A 21,483-nucleotide genomic window follows, 5' to 3' on the forward strand; every position below is an offset into this window, starting at 1 on the left:
CTCCCTTTAAAATGATGGCTGGCCCTCACTATAAATATAAACATCTTCTCTACTATTCTTTCAAATAATCCATATGCTATGCTTACATTTATATCTCCTGAGGCTCTCTTTTGTGAAATGAATATTCTATTTATTTCAAATAAAACTCTTTTAAAATTATCACATTATTTATACTAGCATATTCACTTATTAGATTTGTAATAGCTCTCCAGAGATGGTCGCAAACATGCATGAGATTAATTTAAGCATCTACTATTTTTCACACATGTCAAAATAAGTTATATCGGGGAAAATAATGCATATTTCTTACCTGATTAGAATTTTCAGGATCGTATATCATCTTCAGTGAGTACTAATTGCTACTAACTGGCATTTGATTGAAGTGGTGAAAAGGTGGATTCATTCTGTTTCACTAATTGATTCAAGTTGGATTTTGCCCAAGTCTTATAAGCTAAATATCCAATAATAAGGGAATGATTAATTGAATCTCAGCACATCCATATGACAGAATAATGTGAAGCCATTAAAATGGTATTTTAGAAGAATGCTTAGTAAAATTGGGAAATGCTTATAATAAATTTATTATTACTACATGGAGAATAAAATCTACATTCATCATTCTGGACTCTAAGGTCCTACATAATCTGTCCCCTGCTTAACTCTACTTCCTATCTTACCCATCTGTCTCCTTCCATATCACAATTTATCCACACTGGTCTTTGTTTTACTTCCAGAACATACCCTGACTTTTCTGCTGTCAGAACTTCACATTAGCTGTTCCCCATGCCTGGAACGCACCTCCCTATGTCTTCACCTGAATGATGCCTTCTTTTCACTGAAAAGGTCCTTTTGTAACCACTATATTTAGTATAGTGATATACTAGACTTACTTTCTAGTATATCACTTTGTATTTTCTAGTATACTACTTATTAACTTCTCACTATCTGATACCGCCTTACTTATTTTTAGGTTTTTTTTTTTTTTTTTACACTTCCTACTAAAATGCAAGCTTCTTGAAAGCAGGGACATAGTCTATGTTAATTTTTTATTTTTTTATTACATAGTAGGTGGTAGGTGTATATATTTCTGGGTTACATGAGAGATATTTTGATACAGGCATATGATGCATAATAATCACATCAGGGTAAATGGAATATTCATCACCTCAAGCATTTGTCCTTTGTGTTACCCAATCCAATTATACATTTATTTTAAAATGTACAATTAAATCATTATTGTCTATAGTCACTCTGTTGTGCTGTTGAATACTAGATCTTATTTACTGTACTTTTTGTACCCATTAACGATCCCCATTTCCTCCCCACTTGCCCACTACCCTTCCCAGCCTCAGGTAACCATCATTCTACTCTCGATGTCTGATGTTGTCTCTCTTGTTCACTGTTTTATTCCCAGAACCTGGGAAAATGCCTGACACATAGTAAAGATCCAATATGTGTTTTTTAAATAAATACACCTGTAATTATTTTAAGTTTCAAAAGTAAAAATGCTCATTTTAGAATTTTTAATAATATAAAGAAGTAAAAAGAGAATTCAAAATTATCAATGACTTTATCTGGAGGTACTCATTGTACACTTGTTGGTATATGTTAGGGCACAGACAAGTAAATGTATAGCAGCTGGAATCATCTAACTGCACCCCTGTTTTATAATCTTCTTTTCCTTATATTCTTCCCTCTTTTCCCTTTAGCAAAATAAAATAAATTTCCCTCATAGACTCATGTATAACAGTCTGGTGATAATTTCCTTGGAATCACTCTGCATAGTTTGTCAATGTAGTTTTTGCCAATAGTAAAAAAAAAGCAAAAAGCAAAAAGCAGTACTCTCCCAAAGAGGAATTTTGGTACTCATATTTTTCTGCACTTCTGAAATGTGGAATGGAGCACAACATGGAGACCGTGTTGAGTGCTGTGGGGACAGACAAGAGACACAAACACTTTCTCCTTTTTGGTGGGTCAAAGAATGCTTACCTTCAGAAGGATGTGAGTTCTCAGCTGAGACCTGAAGTGTATCTAGATCAGCTACAGTAGATTCATAAGGTTTGGAACCTGTAGGTTGGGAGAGGCAGGGAATTCTAAAGTCCCTCTGACCTCTGGGTCATTAATCACATCTCCTTTTCTGACCCTGACTCTCCTGTCTCCCTCTTATAAAATCTCTTGTGATTACACTGAAACCACCTGGAAAATCTAGTATAATCTACCTGTCTCAAGACTCTTGACTTAGTCACATGTGCAAAATCCCTTTTTAGATGGAATATACCATATTTACAGGTTGTGAGAATTAAGCCATGAACATCTTAATTGGGTGGGGGAAGTTACTATTCTGCCTACTATGGTTCTGTATCATCAATCGAATCAATTCAACGGGGAGCTTATTACTTTTAATTTTATGCTGTCATTTCCTCATCTGTAAAAGGTAATAAGAGTTCTACAACAACTTAGGTTTGTTCTGAAGAGTAAATGCTTTGAAGGTTCTGGCACATATCAGATACTTAAGAAGCTATTATTATTGCAGCAAATAATATGATTTTACAAATACCCTCATGGAGTTAAAAATTACACCACCCACGTATATTGATGGAATGTGGTAGGACTTATGAGGCAATATATGAGAATTTAATAAGATATAATACCATAGTAATTTATTCTAGATACATATATACCCAAATTATGAATGATATAGTTTTTGAATTACCCTTGAAGAGTTATTAATATTTTAGCAACTCTAGAAGAAAATGATGAACATGTTTTTTGGAACATTAACTTATTTTCCCATCTTTGACAAGGTAAAGATATCTACATTTGCATATTTTCAGTCTACTTTTTTTCTCTATGATCAAGAAGATTCTTATGTTTTTCTATTGTGATTCTATATCCTCATCCACATCTAGTGAGTACCTGCTTTGTGTCTGCTATGCCTTTGGGCTTTTTGTAATGTAGATTTATTTTTTTTTTGTAAGATGGAGTCTCTGTCACCCAGGCTGAAGTGCAGTGGTTTGATCTTGGCTTACTGCAACCTCCACCTCTTGGGTTCAAGTGATTCTTCTGCCTCAGCCTCCTGAGTAGCTGGGGTTACAGGTGCCTGCCACCACGCCTGGCTAATTTTTGTATCTTTAGTAGCGACGGGTTTTCACCCTTCCAACCAGGCTGGTCTTGAACTCCTGACCTCAAGTGATTCACCCACCTAAGCTTCCCAAAGTGCTGGGATTACAGGTGTGAGCCACTGCACCTGTCCTGTGATGTAGTTTTAAGATAACAAATAGAGATAAAAACAAGGAGAGCATCATGAATTTTGGACAACAAATAGAAAGAGACACACCCAGCTGGGCGCAGTGGCTCATGCCTGTAATCCCAGCACTTTGGGAGGCCGAGGTGGGCAGATCATGAGGTCAGAAGTTCGAGACCAGCCTGGACAACAGAGTAAAACCCCATCTCTACTAAAAATACAAAAATTAGCTGGGCATGGTGGCACGTGCCTATAGTCCCAGCTACTTGGGAGGCTGAGGCAGAAGAATCGTTTGAACCCAGGAGGCTGGGGTTGCAGTAAGCCGAGATCATGCCACTACACTTCAGCCTGGGCAGCAGAGCAAGACTCCATTTAAAAAAAGAAAGAGACAAACACATAAATCGAGCATCATTGAAAAGGGCCTGCATACTCAAAAAAGAGTAGAAAGAATCGTGGCTAAAAAAAAACCAGTAGGAATTCAGAGTTGTAGGGGAGAGATTTTGAGGAAATCGGTTGTGATTCAAGGGAAAGATATTTCTAATGACAGAAGTATAAAATTTGATAAAGCTGTTCAGAACAAAGAGAATATGTTTCTTACCCTTTGACATTATCTGAGAGATGACAGTAAACAGCAATGTTTTTTTCATTACTTTCAGTTGCTAGATATTATTTTGTCCCATCCAACTCCATGCTTGGGCTGGCATGTGGGGCTTCATTTTTGTTTGAATTATACATCATCCAGTGGATATGTTATATTCTCTTCAAGTCTCATAAACCCATTGCATGTCATTCACACTCATCAAACCATTTGCAGTCCATCCGTCTTCTCCTCCAGCAATCTTTATCATTCCCTATATCTTTTTTTCTGAACAGAGAAACTGACCCTTCCTCTGTTTACGTTCACTTTTTCCAACTGTTCAGAAATATTAATCTCACCTTCAATCTACAAACATGTCCTCTAAACATACAACCATGTTTCCTTGTAAGCAGCTACCCTCATTTTCTCCCTTCTATAAACAAACTTTGTTAGAGAACCTACAAAACCACTTATTTTCTTTCATTTCTTATTTTCTAGTAAACTCACTTGGATATGATTTCTGTTTTTAATATGATAGACATGCACCTGCAATCGTTAAATCCAGTGATTGCCTTTTATTTAGTTAGGCTGCTCTATAGAATGATAACATTGATCATGCTTTTCTTCCTTCACTGTAACACATTATTTTATTACCCACCCTTCAGCTCACTGATCATTGTCTTTCTGGCTTTCTTCCAGCCGTATCTCAATAGTTGGTGCATCCCATGGTTTCATCTTTGCTCCTTAACTCATATAGACATGATTTGTGTGTGCTATTATTCTCTTATGCAGATTTTCTTAACAGCAATAGACATTCTTAAATAAGCAAAACTAAAAAGGCCAAAGTAAATTTGTCCCTAAAGTTTCCTGTGTTTCCTGTTTCATTAAATGAAGCCAATGACATTATTATTCACGAGGTGTCCAAACACAAAAGCTCAAACATTTTTGAAATGCCTTCCTTCAACCTCGTATCAGTTGTTACCAAGTCATTCTTATTATTCTGCCTATGTTAAATATGAAATTACTTTCCTCCACTCCATAGCTCTATCAGTGCAGGCTTCTTTTCCCAATTGTCTCAGTTATCCCTGAACTGAGAGATCTCTTGTGATGTCTCATCCTCTATGTCTTCCTTTCCACAGATTTGAGCACAATATCCTCTACTTTAACACTTATTTCAAATATTGGACAGAAAAGAATGATACATAAGACCTTTACAATATGGCCACTGATATGGATTAAATATTTCTGTCCCCCTTTTCCCAATTTTTATGTTGTGGTCCTAATCCCCAATGTGATAATGTTTGAAGGTGGGACCTTGGAGAGGTTGATTGGATTTGGATGAAGTCATGGGGATAGTGCTCCTGTAATGGGATTGGTGCATTATAAGCGGATGAGGAGACCAGAACTCTCTCTGGGAGATGTGAAGATGTAGTGAGAAGGTGACTGTGTATAAGCCAGGAAGAGGGCCTTTAGCAGAACCTGACCATTCTGGCACCCTGATCTTGGACTTCCAGTCTCCAGACCACTGAGAAATAAACATTCGTAGTTTAAGTTACCCAGTCTATGGTATCTTATTATATCAGCCTGAGAAAATTAATACAACCACAAATTCCTTTTCTTAATTTGCCAAGCCACATCTCATTTTTAACTATACTAACTTATTTTTTAAACATATGCAGAGCTGAGAGGTACCACTATTCAAATATCATTAAAAAGCTTTCTAAAGGCACACAAACGCATGAGTTCAGGCAGTGTACCACAACTGTAAATGCTGGAAAGAAGCTCTAATGGACAAAGCACTTGAGTACAGGCAGTAGCAAGAGGCTGGCTGAGTCTGTGACACTCCAGAGGCATGGCTGTAAACATTTGACAGCACTAATAGTGGCTCAGAAAGGGCTAACCACTGGCAACAGTGGAAAAAAAATAGTTACTCCACATTTTTACAACTGACATTGCTATTTCTGAAACCTTCCTCTTCTTTCCCTTTCTCTATGTTGTAATAGGAATTCAGGTATTGACATGTCTCAAGTATGATTAATAAGTAATTCATGCAAGAAATATTCTATGAATATGAAAAATATTTGAGGGCAAAGAGTGATTACTTTTGTTCCCATTAGTCTCATAATGACAGCCTGTTCTGACATAAGTTAGCTCTGGCTAGTCTCAACCAAAATATTTTCAGGTACAGTTCATCTGAAGTTTTAAGTTATTCTCAAATAGATGATATCATCTACAGTAGCATGCTCAAATACCGTAATACTCATTGTGTGGGGGAGCAATTAAAACTGAAGGTGATTCAGGTGAATATATTGCTTGGCTTTAGAAACTGGAACTGCAAAATGGATTCTTAAGAATGTGAGTCTAGTAAAAGAAACGAGAATGAACACTGACAAATAAGAGATGAATAGTGGCAGAAAGAATTAGAAGTCATAATGATACTTTTAGAAAAGGAAATTAGAGCAGAAAAAAAAAAGTAACCCTAGCAACAAAAAGAACTGTAAACATTTTTAGAGATAGGAAGAAAGAAAAAAAATCATGGTAACTGAAAAAAAAAAAAAAATAGGTACTTTACATTAGAGGAGTGTATTTTTTACTAATATATTTACTCACACACACACTTAGAATAGGAAATCTATCCAACAATTCAGCAAAAGACAACAAATTATTTTAAGGAAGCCAAAAAGTAAAATAAAAAAATTCCGATTAACCTTCTTGGAAAAAGTATTCTAATATCAAAACTTTATTATTTTTTCTTTTTTACTAAAAAAACCTCTAGAGTTAGAAGTTAACCTTTAATTGCATAGTGTCATTTTACATTCAGCATTACATAATTTGAATAGTCTTACTCAATTTTATAAGCTGACAATTATAAGGAGATTGCTTTTAAATGGCCTCAGGCTTTAACTAGGCTAGGATCCTCTTTGGTTTGGAAAGCACAACATCTCATTGAGCATTACCCAGGAATCTGATCATTATTTCAAAAAAAAAGAAATCTCATTTTTTATGGCCAGAGAGAATCAGATAGGAGAATTTCTGCATGAAAATGTAATTGTATCATCCAAGCTGATGAGGTGGAGGGGGAAAATGTAACCATTTGAAAGACGTTTTGGTTGTGTGTTACATGAAGCTGAACATAGACTTACCATACAATCCAGAAATCACACTCCTAGTTATTTACTCAATACTCAAGAAAGGGTTCAATTGGGCCCAAAGATGTAGAAGAATAAATGTGAAAACAGAATCGTGTCAACTATATTAAATTCCTAACATATATTCAATGCATTTAAAAAAACTCTCACAAATGAAATCCTGATACCAGATGCCTCCACTGGTGTATTCTTCCATTTATTTCTGAATAAATTACCCCGATCTTAAACAAACTCTTCTGAATTATAGGAAAATGGCTCTTTTTTATGAGGTCACCGCAATCTTGATTGTAAAATCTGACAAGGATATCACCCACTCTGTAATTCCAAAAGTTTCTCTCATGATATAGTTATAAAAATCCTAAACAAGATAACAAAGCAAACTCACAGAATGATTTAACATAAAAAATATGTCAATGCTATTTACCATAATAACTACAAAAAAGATTAAAAATGATTATCTCAAAATAAGTTTTTAAGATGCCTTTGCTGAATTCAATACCCATTCATAATTTAAAAACAATTAATAGTATGTTAGGTGTACAAAGAATTGTCTTTTATGAAATAAAGACTGTCTGCAAAAATCTAAGAGCATTCATATTTGATGGTAAAATATGAAAACTTTCTTCCCTTCTGCCCTCTTTCTTTTCCCACTACTTCAGATAGTGCACAAAGGAAAAATCACCCCTATCATTACTTTTGTTCTACATCTCACTATAGGGTTTAGCCAGGACAATATAACAAAAGAAACAAAATAAAACAAATCAAACACAAAATAGAGAAAAGAAAAAAAGAAACAAAAGTAGAGATCATGTGCATAGAAAAGGAGAAAGAAAATTCTTATAATTTGCCTATCAATGGTTATATAGTTAGAAAATAAAAAATCCATGAATTATAATAAATTTAATAAGATTGCTTTACATACTGTTTTGCACAGTGCTTACAGATGCTTTACTAAGAAAGGTGAAAACAGCAAATACACAGATAAAACTCTGTGTCAGCATTTGGCAGCATTTAGCTGTCATGAGACTTCCTGAAGGTAAGACTTAAATCAGTAGTTCATGTAAACTGTGCTGGTGTGCAATGTTAATGCCACCCGTCTCACTGCCGGGTGAGTGCAACATGATTCTTTACAGGGCTGAGGACTGGAGTGCATTCTCGTATTTTCAAATTAATGTTAATTCTATCTCATTTTAAATGTAGACATTTTATCACCAGCTTTTGTATCAGCAAGGGAGATTCTAGTCTTGGCAATAGCCTCAAGTCTGATTTCAACATTACCCAAATGATGGTGATGTTCACGCTTCTCATCAAATGAAACTTTCATCTGTTTTTAAAGCAATCTACAGAATATTTATCTCTCAGTTGCTTCATCAAAAAGAGCTCCCAAGAGGTGGTAAAAATTATTTTCGCACTATCACAGTGAGATTTAATGACATTTTAAATAAATAACAATATCCTGTTTACACATAATAAAGTATTACATTTATAGCGTTTTGGCTTAGATTTATAAAAATTCACTAAACCAGTGATGAAAATCAGGATTTATAATTGTTCTATTATTATTTCTGAAACTATTTATGGTAGGAAAGGTTAGTGACTGCTGCTGGCACTGTGGTAGCAGAAAGTTAATGATTCTCTTGTCTTTTAGTGGAGTTAGACTGTAGTTCATGTGTAAAACAATACCTCCAGGCTGTGCTTTAAATGCTGAGCTCATTTATCTCTCATCAGTTAGGTAAATGAGATGCGGAAGTGGCTCCTGGTTTCTAAATAACTTTTTATACACTACTGAAAGCCTTAAAGGGTACTAAAATGCTTTCTCTTGTTAATGAAATTTCACTCATATAATCCATTCCTTAGTCTAGGAGACTCATTTTTTTTTTTTAAGCTTCCAGGCAGGCTGCTGATTTCACACTTATGCCAATGTTTATAAGTTCATTTTTATTACAGATTTACTTGTTTATATGAGGATATTTCCAAAATATATGTACCATAGTTATGTAAAGTGTTAACATTAGGGGTAGCTGAGTGAAAACTATGCTGTCTTTTCATCTCTTTGGTAAATCTGAAATTATTCGAAAAGAAAAGATCTAAAAAATTACACACCAAAATACTCTCCTTTTACCCCTCAAAATAAGAAGATAGTTCTGATCAGCATATTTTGTACTTATTTTATTATTATAATGTGGAATGCTTTCAAATTTACGTGTCATGCATGTGTGACTAGCATAAGTTTTTAAATGTGTATTCAAGAAGTTTATAAAGATTGCCACAAAAATAATGCCTAGTAAGTAGTTACAGCCCAAACATTCCAACTGCCACTCTACATTTCTTTCTCACACATCACTATCAACACTATGATAGTTGAAGACCAAAAATAAATATCGTTGAGTGAATGTCTCTGTGTAATCTATAGTATGATCCTCAAGGGCCACCATTATTGTGCTGGAGAGAGCACACTGTCTTTCATTCACAGAAAGAAAATTAACTTTATTGCGGTCCCTCAACCTTTTAGTGTTTCCTATTCCACAGACAAAAACTCTCAGGCAGAGCAGAATTATTTTCTCTCCTTCACTTAGATAAATTCTAAGGACAAAGGAAATACTTACGAAATTGTTTTTGGATAGATCAGTGTGTGAGTATAAGTGATTGAGCTATACATTCAGAAAAAAGTAAGACACAATTTCCAATTTAAGACCTCATCTCTGTATGGAGGTTGTGATCCTTAATTTTGTGTGGCCTGGGCCATAGGAGGCTCCAGATATTTGACTGAGCATTATTCTGGGTGTGTGGGTGAGGGTGAAGGTGTTTCTGGATAGGATTAACATTTGAATTGGTAGACTGAGTAAAGCAGATTACCCTCCCACACGTGTGTGACCCTCATGCAATCCACTGAAGGCGTTAATAGAAGAAAAAGTCTGAGAAAGGAGAATTTACTCTGTGAACCCCAAATATCTGAGAGAGGTATCAGTTAATTTAGATTGTTTATTTTGCCAAGATTGAAGATGCATGCCTGTGACACAGGCTTAGCAGGTCCTGATGACATGTGCCCAAGGTGGTCAGGGCACAGCTTGGTTTTATACACTTGAGGGAGACATGAAACATCAATTAAAATATGTAAGATGAACATTGGTTCAGTCTGGAAAGCTGGGACAACTCAAAGCAAAGGGGGGACAACTCACAGCAGGGAGGGGGCTTCCAGGTCATGGGTAGATAAGGGACAAATGGTTACATTCTTTTGAGTTTCTGATTAGCCTCTCCAAAGGAGGCAATCAACCATGCATTTATCTCAGTAAGAGGACTGGTTACTTTGAATAGAATGGGAGGCAGGTTTGCCCTAAGCAGTTCCCAGCTTGACTTTTCCCTTTTGCTTAGTGATTTTGGGGCCCCAAGGTTTATTTTCCTTTCACAGTTCTCTCTGCCTGACTATCTTCAAGTGGAGACAATAGTCTTCTCTTGCTATCAAAGTCAGAATCAGACTTAGACTCAGACTGGAATTCACACCATTAGCTTTCCTTGTCTCAGACCTTTAGGCTCCAGACTAGTTCGATGGCATTGGCTCTCCTAAGCCTTCAGATTGCTGATCTCAAGTTGTGGGACTTAAGTCTCCATAACTGCATAAGCCAATTCCTTATAAAAAAAAATCTCTGTGTGTGTGTATGTGTATGCATATATATGTGTGTGTGTGTGTGTGTGTGTGTGTGTGTGTGTGTGACAAGAGGTCCATAGATAGGGCTGGGTGTATGTGTTTCTATGTGTGTATATATATTTATATGATTCTATTCCTCTGGAGAACCCAGACCAATACTGAGATGATTCATAATTAAGTTTAAATTAAAATAACTCTGAGCTTTTTTAGTATGTCATTTATGTCAGGCCTCTGAGCCTAAGCCAAGCCATCGCATCCCCTGTGACTTGCACGTATATGCCCAGATGGCCTGAAGTAACTGAAGAATCATAAAAGAAGTAAAAATGCCCTGCCCCGCCTTAACTGATGACATTCCACTACAAAAGAAGTGTAAATGTCCGGTCCTTGCCTTAACTGATGATGTTCCACCACAAAAGAAGTGAAAATGGCCGGTCCTTGCCTTAAGTGATGACATTACCTTGTGAAAGTTCTTTTCCTGGCCCATCCTGGCTTCAAATCTCCCCCACTGAGCACCTTGCAATGCCCACTCCTGCCCGGCAGAGAACAACCCCCCTTTGACTGTAACTTTCCTTTATCTACCCAAATCCTATAAAACGGCCCCACCCTTATCTCCCTTCACTGACTCTCTTTTCGGACTCAGCCTGCCTGCACCCAGGTGATTAAAAGCTTTATCGCTCACACAAAGTCTGTTTAGTAGTCTCTTCACACCGACAGGCATGAAAATTTAAATATATTCGAATGCTATGGGTCTAAGGTCTAAGATTGTTTTGGATTTTAAACCAAGGTTGAATTCCAATTTGGTCTTTGTTATGGTTTTCTTTGGAAAGGCGTTATGCCATTGAGTCAGTTAAAAGTGAAATTTACTCATAATCCTTGGTCAAGGGTTTTATAACCCTCTCATCTTTGAATTACTTATAACTTACTTTAGAATTATTGTTCATCCTCTTCCCTTTCTTTTACATTATCCATGCTCCTCATATAACATAGCTATAATTAATGAGTTTTACCAAGTCTGTTTCCTGAGTCTGTAAATCCAGGGGGGCATATATTTCCATATAGCATCTAGTGTTCTAAAAATGCTTGTCTAGGCGATTGGGTTCCCACCTCAGCCATCCTGTTCCCTCATGGGATTCTGAAGTTATCATGTTTATAATTTACCATCATTTCAATTATAGTAGGTTTCATCACATCAGCTGTGATGGCATGGAGAAACAGTGTAAACCGGCAGTGTAAACAAGAATAGGGCATGTATGAGTAGTTGAGAACGGTGAATAGGAGTATCACTAGACAGAAGATAGTAGGGATGACAAGTTTTTTGGGGCACAGTCTAAGTTGGTCTGGTGTCTGGAATGAGACTGGGGCCTAATAAAAAGGAGCGTCTTTACAGGAGCTTAAATGGTCTGTACCCTGTAGCGTTCCGAGGACAGGCCTGAATTCTGAGAAGGGAAAGTGGTAAAAGTATTGTCCAGTCCTTTTTGGTGGCTGAGCTTGGTGAGGTGTGTTTTTAAAAGACCTTCAGTCCATTCTACTTTTCTTGAAGATGGAGGACCGTAAGGGATATAAAGATTTCACTGAATACTAAGAGCCTGAAAAACTGCTTGGCTGATTTGACTAATAAAGGCTCATCTGTTATCAGACTGTATTGAGGTGGGAAGGCTAAACTGAGGAATTATGTCTGACAGAAGGGAAGAAATGACTGCGGTGGCCTTCTCAGACCCTGTAGGAAAGGCCTGTACCTATCCAGTGAAAGTATCTACCTAGACTAAGAGGTATTTTAGTTATCTGACTCAGGGCATGTAGAGTAAAGCTAATTTGCCAGTCCTGGGTGGGGCAAATCCTCCAGCTTGATGTGTAGGGAAGGGAGGGGGCCTGAATAATCCCTGAGGAGTAGTAGAATGGCAGATGGAACACTAAGAAGTTATTTCCTTGAGGATAGATTTCCACGATGGAAAGGAAATGAGAGGTTCTAAGAGGCGGGCTAGTGGCTTGTACTATAGTATAACCTGCCTTTGCTGGTGTGTGGCGATTAGGCCTGGTGGAACCGTCATCAATAAATCAAGCATGATCAGGGTGAGGAACAGGAAAGAAGGAAATTTGGGGAAATGGGGTGAATGTCAGGTGGATCAGAGAAATACAGTCATGGGGGTCAGGTGTGGTATCAGGAATAATGTGGGAGGCCGGATTGAAGTCTGGGCCAGGAACAATGGTAATTGTGGGAGACTCAACAAAGAGTGAGTATAGCTGAAGGAGCCGGGAAGCAGAAAGTATATGCGTCAGGTATGAGGAAGAAAATAGATTTTGGAAGTTATGAGAACTGTAGAGAGTGAGTTGAGCATAGTTTGTGATCTTGAGGGCCTCTAAAAGTATTAATGCAGTGGCAGCCGCTGCACGCAGACATGAGGGCTAGGCTAAAACAGTAAGGTCAAGTTGTTTGGACAGAAAGGCTACAGGGTGTGGTCCTGGCTCTTGTGTAAGAATTCTGACCATGCTAACCATGCCTAGGAAGGAAAGGAGTTGTTGTTTTGTAGAAGGTGCTGGGGTTTGAGAGATCAGTCGGACAAGATTGGCAGGGAGAGCACGTGTGTTTTTATGAGAATTATGCCGAGATAGGTAACAGATGAGGAAGAAATTTTGGCTTGATTGAAGTAATGGGGGCTGACTGTGAAGCTTTGCAGCAGTACAGCCTAGGTAATTTGCTGAGCTTGATGGGTGTCAGGGTCAGTCCAAGTGAAAGCGAAGAGAGGCTGGGATGAAGGGTGCAAAGGAATAGTAAAGAAGCATGTTTGAGATCTAGAACAGAATAATGGGTTATAGAGGCAGGTATTGAGGATAGGAGAGTATATGGGTTTGGCACCACAGGGTGGATAGGCAAAACAATTTGGTTGATAAGGCACAGATCCTGAAGTAACTTGTAAGTCTTGTCTGGTTTTAGGACAGGTAAAATGGGGAAATTGTAAGGAGAGTTTATAGGCTTTAAAAGGCCATGCTGTAGCAGGCAAGTGAAAACAGGCTTTAATCTTTTTAAAGCATGCTGCAGGATGGGATATTGGCGTTGAGTGAGGTAAGGGTGATTAGGTTTTAATGAAATGGTAAGGGGTGCATGATCGGTCGCCAAGGAGGGAGTAGAGATATCTTATACTTGTGGGTTAGGGTGGGGGGATACAAGAGGAGGACGCAAAGGAGGCTTTGAATTGGGATGAAGGGCGGCAATGAGATATAGCTGTAGTCCAGGAATAGTCAGGGAAGCAGATAATTTAGTTAAAGTGTCTCAGCCTAATAAGGTAACTGGGCAGGTGGAGATAACTAAAAAGGAGTGCTTAAAAGAGTATTGTCTAAGTTGGCACCAGAGTTGGAGAGTTTTAAGAGGTTTAGAAGCCTGGCTGTCAATACCCACAACAGTTATGGAGGCAAGGGAAACAGGCCCTTGAAAAGAAGGTAATGTGGAGTGGGTAGCCTCTGTATGATTAAGAAGGGGACAGACTTACCCTCCACTGTGAGTTACCCGAAGCTCGGCATCTGTGATGGTCTAGGGGGCTTCCGAGGCGATCGCGCAGCGTCAGTCTTCAGCCGCTAAGCTGAGAAGATCTGGGAAGGAGTCAGAGAGCCTTGGGCCAGAGTTCCAGGGGCTCTGGGAGTGGCTGCCAGGTGAGTTGAACAGTCCGATTTTCAGTGGGGTCCCACACAGAAGGGACATGGCTTAGGAGGAATCCTGGGCTGTGGGCATTCCTTGGCCCCGTGGCCAGATTTCTGGCACTTATAGCAAGCTCCTGGGGGAGGAGGTTCTGGAGGAATGCCTGGCTGCTGCGCTTCAGGTGTTTGGAAGCTCTTGTGTGCTGGAGATGTGGCTGGGGTTTGTCTCACAGTGGAGGCAAGGAATTGCAACTTTTTTCTATTATTGTACACCTTGAAGGCGAGGTTAATTAAATCCTGTTGTGGGGTTTGAGGGCCGGAATTTAATTTTTGGAGTTTTATTTAATGTCGGGAGCAGATTGGGTAATAAAATGTATTTTGAGAATAAGACGGCCTTTTGACTTTTTAGGGTCTAGGGCTGTAAAGTGTCTCAGGGTTGCTGCCAAACAAGTCATGAACTGGGCTGGATTTTTATATTTGATGAAAAAGAGCCTAAACGCTATCTGATTTGGGATAAAGAAAAAGGAGCATTAAGCTTGACTGTGCCTTTGGCTCCAGCCAACTTTTTAAGAGTAAATTGCTGGGCAGGTTGGGGAGGGCTAGTCATGGAATGAAACTGTAAGCTGGACCAGGTGTGAGGAGGGGAGGTGATAAAAAGATTATAGGGTGGAGGAGCAGAGGATGAGGAAGAATTGGGATCTAGCTCGGCCTGGAGAGGAGCAGCCTGGGGAGGAAGGGAGAGGTCAGATGGGTCTGTAGAAAAGGAAGATTAGAAAGACTCAGTGACGCTTGGGGTTGGGACTGAGGGGACAGGCGGGAGGGAAAGAAGGAAGATTTGGGACGAGTTGCACTGGGCACAGAGACTAGGAACGGACTGATGTGTAAAAGAATGCCTGGACTTCAGGCACCTCAGACCATTTGCCTATTTTACGACAAGAATTATTTAGATTTTGCAGGATGGAAAAATTCAAAGTGCCATTTTCTGGCTATTTGGAACTACTGTCGAGTTTGTACTGGGGTCAAGCGGCATTGCAGAAGAAAATAAGGCATTTAGGTTTTAGGTCAGGTGTGAGTTAAAGAGGTTTTAAGTTTTTGAGAACACAGGCCAAGGGAGTAGAAGGAGGAATGGAGGGTGGAAGGTTGCCCATAGTGAAGGAAGCAAGCCCAGAGAAAAGAGTAGAGACACAGAGAAGGGGTGGGGGGTTCTTGCCCTCCAGAAAAGCAGAGAAAGGGTTGGGGCACGGAAATAAGGGATTGGGGCACAGAGATAAGAGGTTGGGGTGCGGAAATAAGGGATTGGGGTACAGAGATAAGAGGTTGGGGCGTGGAAATAAGCGATTGGGGGGTTCTTGCCCCCTAGGAAAGCGGGACTTGCCGCTAAGGGTGAAGGAGAAGGGGTTGAGGGGTACTTGCCCCTCTCCCAGAAAAGCAGAGAAGGGGTAGAGACAAGGAGAGAAGGGGTTGAGGTACTTGTCCCTTCCCCAGAAAAGAGGGACTTGCCGCTAAGGGTGAAGGACCAAGGCAGGCGTCCCTGCGTGGTCTGACACCCTTGAAACGTGTAAGTATAATCAGAGAGGTGTCCCTGCAGTGATTAAACACCAAGGGAAGGCTGCCTTCCCAGTCCGTGACTGGCGCCGGAGTTTTGGGTCCATGGATAAAACGTGTCTCCTTTGTCTCTCCCAGAAAATGAAAGGAATTGAAATGAAGAGAAGGGAGAGATTGAAGTGTAGCACCAAAATTGAAAGGAGAAAGAGGTTGAGGGATAGTGAGGGAGGTTGGAGAAGAGAGTAAAAAGAGGCCGCTTACCGGATTTGAAATTGCTGAGATGTTTCTTGGGCTGGTCGGTCTGAGGACGTGAGGTCGTAGGTGGATCTTTCTTATGGAGCAAAGAGCAGGAGGACGGGGGATTGATCTCCCAAGGGAGGTCCCCCTATCCAAGTCACGGCACCAAATTTCATGCGCGTCCATGTGAAGAGACCACCAAACAGGCTTTGTGTGAGCAACATGGCTGTTTATTTCACCTGGGTGCAGGCCGGCTGAGTCCGAAGAGTCAGCGAAGGGAGATAAGGATGGGGCCGTTTTATAGGATTTGGGTAGGTAAAGGAAAATTACAGTCAAAGGGGGTTTGTTCTCTGGCGGGCAGGAGTGGGGGTCACAAGGTTCTCAGTGGGGGTGATTTTTGAGCCAGGATGAGCCAGGAAAAGGACTTTCACAAGGTAATGTCATCACTTAAGGCAAGGACCGGCCATTTACACTTCTTTTGTGGTGGAATGTCATCAGTTAAGTTGGGGCAGGGCATATTCACTTCTTTTGTGATTCTTCAGTTACTTCAGGCCATCTGGGCGTATACCTGCAAGTCACAGGGGATGCGATGGCTTGGCTTAGGCTCAGAGGCCTGACAGTAGGTACTGGTGGAATCACCTGACTTTTCTTATCTCCTTGCCTAAACATCCTTCTCAGGAATAAGAGCACCACAGGCCTGAGCTGAAGCCCAGAATCCAGAGCTAATCTGAGTGGGGTAGATGAACCTGTATCAGTAAGACATGAAATTAGAAACTAATGGCAGACAGGAAACTATGGGCTCTTGGACCAAGACGGACTTTCGAAAATGGCAAAACTAAATCAAAGATGAAGACAAAGGATAAAAATTAAAAGCTGACTTGGGTACAGCTACAGAGGACTTGCAATGACGTTCAGTGAGATTGATCAGAAAGCATCAGGGATGCATAAGAAGCTCATTCATTCAGAGATTCCCTGACAAAGGAATCCTCTGATAAGACACTTGGGCTTTTACCCATGAACATGGAAGAAGAGATAAGGTCTGGCTTTGAAAACGATTTTATTAAACACTGACCCTTCTAATATACCCAACAAGACCTAATTGTGCATGAATTCTAACTTGCGGAATGTTTTGTTCTTCAGAAGCCACAACATAAAGAAGTGAACATAAGTAAAATTTCAGGACAAGCAGTATCAAAAGTGTACAGGTGTATATATAACTTTTTCATAGTTTTCCTTAGTTAAATATTAAGAAAAAAAGCAAGAGTTATATTTCCTTAAGCAGACAGTTTCTTTGACAATATATTTTAATTAGTACAAGAATGGTAGAATATGATAAATATAGAAGATAATTTAGGCATAGAAACATGTTAAGTGTATCTAAAACTAATATTTATGAATTATTAATTTAGTAAAATTTGTCACTGTGTTTAGGAATATTAAGCCATATTAAGTAGTATATCTTAAAGTTATTCACATATTCCAATAAGTATGAAGAGTTAGAAGAATATTGTTTAAAAATATAGATGGCAAAAATACTAAAGTTGCACCGTTATTGTAGTTTTGGAATACGGAATAGGAAAACAGCAATGTGAAATATTAGAGTTTATTTCAATGTTTTAAAGTCCTGCAATCTTCATTATGTAGCTATTAAAAAGCAATTTTTTGTTCATATTACTTTGACCATATCACCTTAGGCCTTCCAACGATGTTTTCCTGCCAAGAAACAAATTAAGCATTTATTAGAGGTCACTAAGGCATCATTACAGGAGTAATTGCTCACTATAGGTTCTTGCCATTCGTTCATTTATTACTCTCTCTGTCTCTTACAAGCCCTTTATAGAATCATGGATTTTTAATAAGTCTTGCACTCTGTGGTGATCTCAGGTTTGGCGTCGCTCATATAATTTGTTTCCTTTTTGATTCTGACAGCTTGTTGTTTACAAAATGATAAGTTCTTCCTACAAGAAAGTCCATAAAATGGCCTGAAAGATGCTATAAAATTGCTAACACTGTAGAATATGAATTATTAACAATACGAATTCTTTGTCTTTTCTGTGACAATTACCTTCCTTCTTTTCTTTATCATCTTATAATTTCCAAATTATAGGTAGATTATGTAGCTTTATAGTAAACCACAAGGCCATTCATAGGCTCATTCTGGAAAGTTTCTATACTTTCCATGGTATACCAATGTGGAAACTGTCCAACATGGTGCTCTCTCTACCCCTCACCAAAGGCCATGCCACTGTGGCTCAGACAAGTGCTTGGGAATTCCAGTGGGACAGGCACTAATAGTACTGACCCTAAAATAAAAACCACAAAATAACTAATTTCCTGATGCACCATTATATTCCCTTTCCACTTTTCTGAAAAGAAAACTCTGACTTTGCTTTCACATATAAGGTTGTTATTATGCAACTAATTTTTATATGAAAATGATCTCCTTATGAGATAGTCCAGCATCTTTTCATACAGATGTAAATAAATGTGGTAAAACTGTAGTTTACACTCTCATTTTCTAAAGCATTAGCAATATTGCATGATAAACAGTGTCATTTCATATAAATATTGTACTGTATAAAAATGATATTTTAATGACTTCCTCTAAATTTCTTGGAATATGAGACTAACTGCATTGTAAAAGTAATCCAAGCATAGACAAAGTAATGGTTTTATCATTAAGATTCTGTATCATACAGTACAAAGAAACTCTGTTGTTGTGTTTTGCATTTCAGAACATCACACAGTTGAATATTGGTATTATGCAGTTATGAATAGTGCCTAAATTTTCTCTTAAAAAGTCTGCTTTTCATTTTCAACCAGAAAACTAAATGTATGAGTATCACAACTTTCATTCAAATAATGTATGTGGTAGTCATGATTGCTGTCCATATCAGTTATGTCTGGGCCTTCTTCCCTGCCACCTTGCAATTGGGAAGCTCTATGGTCTAGGTTGCTTTGGACAATGAAATGTTAACAGAAGTGACTTGTATCATTTATGAACTGAGATTTTTAAAACAGCAATAATCCATTACATTTTTTTTCTCTGCCACAGTGATATAGTTTAGCTATGTCCCCACCCAAATTTCATCTTGAACTATAGTTCCCATAATCTCCACAGGTCATGGGAGGGACCTGGTGGGAGGTAATTTAATCATGGGGGTGGTTACCTTCATGCTGTTCTTGTTATATGAGTGAGTTTTCACAAGATCTGATGGTTTTACAAGGGGTATTTCCCCCTTTGCTCGGCACTTCTCCTTCGTGCCATCATGTGAAGAAGGACATGTTTCCTTCCAGTTCCACCATGATTTTAAGTTTCCTGAGGCCTCCCCAGCCATGCTGAACTGTGAGCCAATTAAACCTCTTTCCCTATACATTATCCAGTCTCGGGTATGTCTTTATTAGCAGCATGAGAAAGAAGTGATACACAGAGTACCCAGGAAATATTCCAGAAAATATCTTCTTGTTTTCTCAGCCTAGGTCCCAAAATAAGAATGACTTAGAGAAGAGGCCTTAGCTAACCTTCATAGGACATAAAATTTGAGTAAAAAACTAACCTTCAGTGCTTACATCATTAAGTTGTTTGTTGTACATCTTAACCTAGTATAAATGAATGTTCCCATAAGGGGAAACACTTAAATATGTGGTATTTGTTTAGGGTCTGACTGGTAGATAGTGAATAAATAATGGTTGGCTGTTGGAAAGCAAGCAATCTATGCTATGTAATGGCGAAAATGTTGGTAACATTTTTGCTATGATAGCTTGGAAGGCAGGTCAATTACTAATGAACCTGCAGCTTTGAGGGAAGAAGTTGGGATGTGCAGGGTTGGAAGCATATGTTGATTGCTATTGGCTATATTTGGCGATGTATTAAAAGGAAGAGATGAAAGGAGGAAAGAATTGATCAGTTTGCAACTAGAAATGAAAGAGAATAGAGAAAAATCACAAAATTAGGTACCTGCAAGTTTGCAAAAGATAGATGCTTGTCAATTACCGAGTAAATAAAGTAAAATAAAAGTGATAGAAGACATTTGAAATAATTTGAAAAAATGAGATGTCACTGAATATTGGATATTATTTCAAAATGAATGAGATTAAGAGTAACATATTTGAAAATAATACAATATAAAATAAAATATTATAAAAAATTTGAGCACGGAAGTCTATTTGAACCTCAGCCTTTCTGTTCAGATCCAATTAGTGTTAGAAGTACAATATTGGTACTTGAAAAAGTTAAATGGATTAAAGTGGTGTGTATTAGGTCCATTCAACTGGACAAAATAGCACAGGGAAAAAAAAGGCCAAAGGTATAGTTCCCACTGTATTCATTTTCTATTGCTGCTGTAACAAACTACTACAAACTTAATGGCTTAAAACTGCACAAATGTATTATTTTACATTTCTCTTGGTCAGAAGTATAGCATTGATCTTATTGGATAAAATCAAGGTAGCAGCAGAACTGTTTCTTTTAGAGGCTCTAGAGGAGAATCTATATCCTGACTTTTCCAGCTTTTAGAAGCTGACGAAATTCCTTGGTTTATTGTCCTCTTTTTAAAAACCAACAATGGCCGGTTAGGTCTTTCTCAGGATTCTGACTTCTGCTTCTGTTCTCACATCTTTTTCTCTGACTCTGCCTATCCTGCCTTTGTTTTACTTTTGCAGAATCTTGTGATTACAGTGGTCCACCTGAATTATCCAGGACAGTCTTTCTGCCACAAGATCCTTAATCACATATACAAAGTCCCATCTGTTATGTAAGGTAACATAATCAGAGTTCCGTGGAATTAAGATGTGGATATCTTTGGAAGTCATTATTCTGCCTATCTTAGTGAATAAATGATGAATGGATGTTGGAAAACATGCCATCTATCTTATGTAGTGGTGAAAATGTTGGTGAAGTTTTTGAGATGATAACAAAGCAGGTCAGTATCTAATGAACTTGTAGCCCTAGGGGAAGAGGTTGCAATTTGCAGCATTAGGATCCCCTTGTATCCAAAGATTCATGTCCAATCCACATGCAAAATACTTTCACCTTATTTACTCCAATATTCTCAAAAGTCTCAACTAATTACAGAATCAACTAAAAGTTAAAAAAAAAACTCATCTAAATTTTATTAGCTCAAAGTTTCAGATCTCATTACCTAAAACATTTAACTCAGGTATGGGTGAGAATCTGGGTAAAATCCATCCACAGGGAAAATGTTCCTTTATCTTTAGACTTATAAAACTAGGAAACAAGTTTCCTGCTCCTAAAATACAATGATGGGACAGGAATAAGACACAAGTTATAGACATTCACATTAAAAAAGGAAGACAAGGGAAGAATAAAGGAGACACCAATTCCAATTTCAAAATCTCAGATGGAAAACTCCATTGAATTTAAAGGCCTGAGAATAATCCTGAGAGTAGTGGCTCTTTCCTTATAATTGTCCTCCTTTTTTCATGAAGGATGGCA

The 21,483-nt window shown here is 38.4% G+C and overlaps 2 long non-coding RNA genes across 3 annotated transcripts in view, besides 4 other annotated features; one reads left to right on the forward strand and one right to left on the reverse strand.

Annotated features, from left to right (window-relative positions):
- Nucleotides 1-16,301, reverse strand: part of LOC101928254 (uncharacterized) — a 34,713-nt gene extending 18,412 nt beyond the window's left edge. For both annotated transcript variants that reach the window (NR_110183.1, NR_110182.1), the window contains exons 1-3: nucleotides 16,053-16,301; nucleotides 1,990-2,067; nucleotides 311-451 (exon numbers count right to left, since the gene is read on the reverse strand). This is a non-coding gene — a long non-coding RNA (uncharacterized LOC101928254). The remainder of the gene's footprint in view (nucleotides 1-310; nucleotides 452-1,989; nucleotides 2,068-16,052) is intronic.
- Nucleotides 1-21,483, forward strand: part of LOC101928283 (uncharacterized) — a 194,753-nt gene that overhangs the window by 63,422 nt on the left and 109,848 nt on the right. The gene's annotated exons all lie outside the window — the stretch shown is intronic.
- Nucleotides 9,422-10,408: an enhancer, noted in NCBI's record as "OCT4-NANOG-H3K27ac hESC enhancer chr7:124897466-124898452 (GRCh37/hg19 assembly coordinates)". NCBI's record gives its function as "activates a minimal SCP1, AML or CMV promoter by ChIP-STARR-seq in naive H9 embryonic stem cells {active_cell/tissue: H9 hESC(naive)}" and the evidence as "EXISTENCE:reporter gene assay evidence [ECO:0000049][PMID:30033119]".
- Nucleotides 10,409-11,394: an enhancer, noted in NCBI's record as "OCT4-NANOG-H3K27ac hESC enhancer chr7:124898453-124899438 (GRCh37/hg19 assembly coordinates)". NCBI's record gives its function as "activates a minimal SCP1, AML or CMV promoter by ChIP-STARR-seq in naive H9 embryonic stem cells {active_cell/tissue: H9 hESC(naive)}" and the evidence as "EXISTENCE:reporter gene assay evidence [ECO:0000049][PMID:30033119]".
- Nucleotides 15,587-16,466: an enhancer, noted in NCBI's record as "OCT4-NANOG-H3K27ac hESC enhancer chr7:124903631-124904510 (GRCh37/hg19 assembly coordinates)". NCBI's record gives its function as "activates a minimal SCP1, AML or CMV promoter by ChIP-STARR-seq in naive and primed H9 embryonic stem cells {active_cell/tissue: H9 hESC(naive and primed)}" and the evidence as "EXISTENCE:reporter gene assay evidence [ECO:0000049][PMID:30033119]".
- Nucleotides 16,467-17,345: an enhancer, noted in NCBI's record as "OCT4-NANOG-H3K27ac hESC enhancer chr7:124904511-124905389 (GRCh37/hg19 assembly coordinates)". NCBI's record gives its function as "activates a minimal SCP1, AML or CMV promoter by ChIP-STARR-seq in naive and primed H9 embryonic stem cells {active_cell/tissue: H9 hESC(naive and primed)}" and the evidence as "EXISTENCE:reporter gene assay evidence [ECO:0000049][PMID:30033119]".

The sequence above is a fragment of the Homo sapiens genome, chromosome 7, assembly GCF_000001405.40.
Source record: "Homo sapiens chromosome 7, GRCh38.p14 Primary Assembly".
NCBI classification, from domain to species: Eukaryota; Metazoa; Chordata; class Mammalia; order Primates; family Hominidae; genus Homo; species Homo sapiens.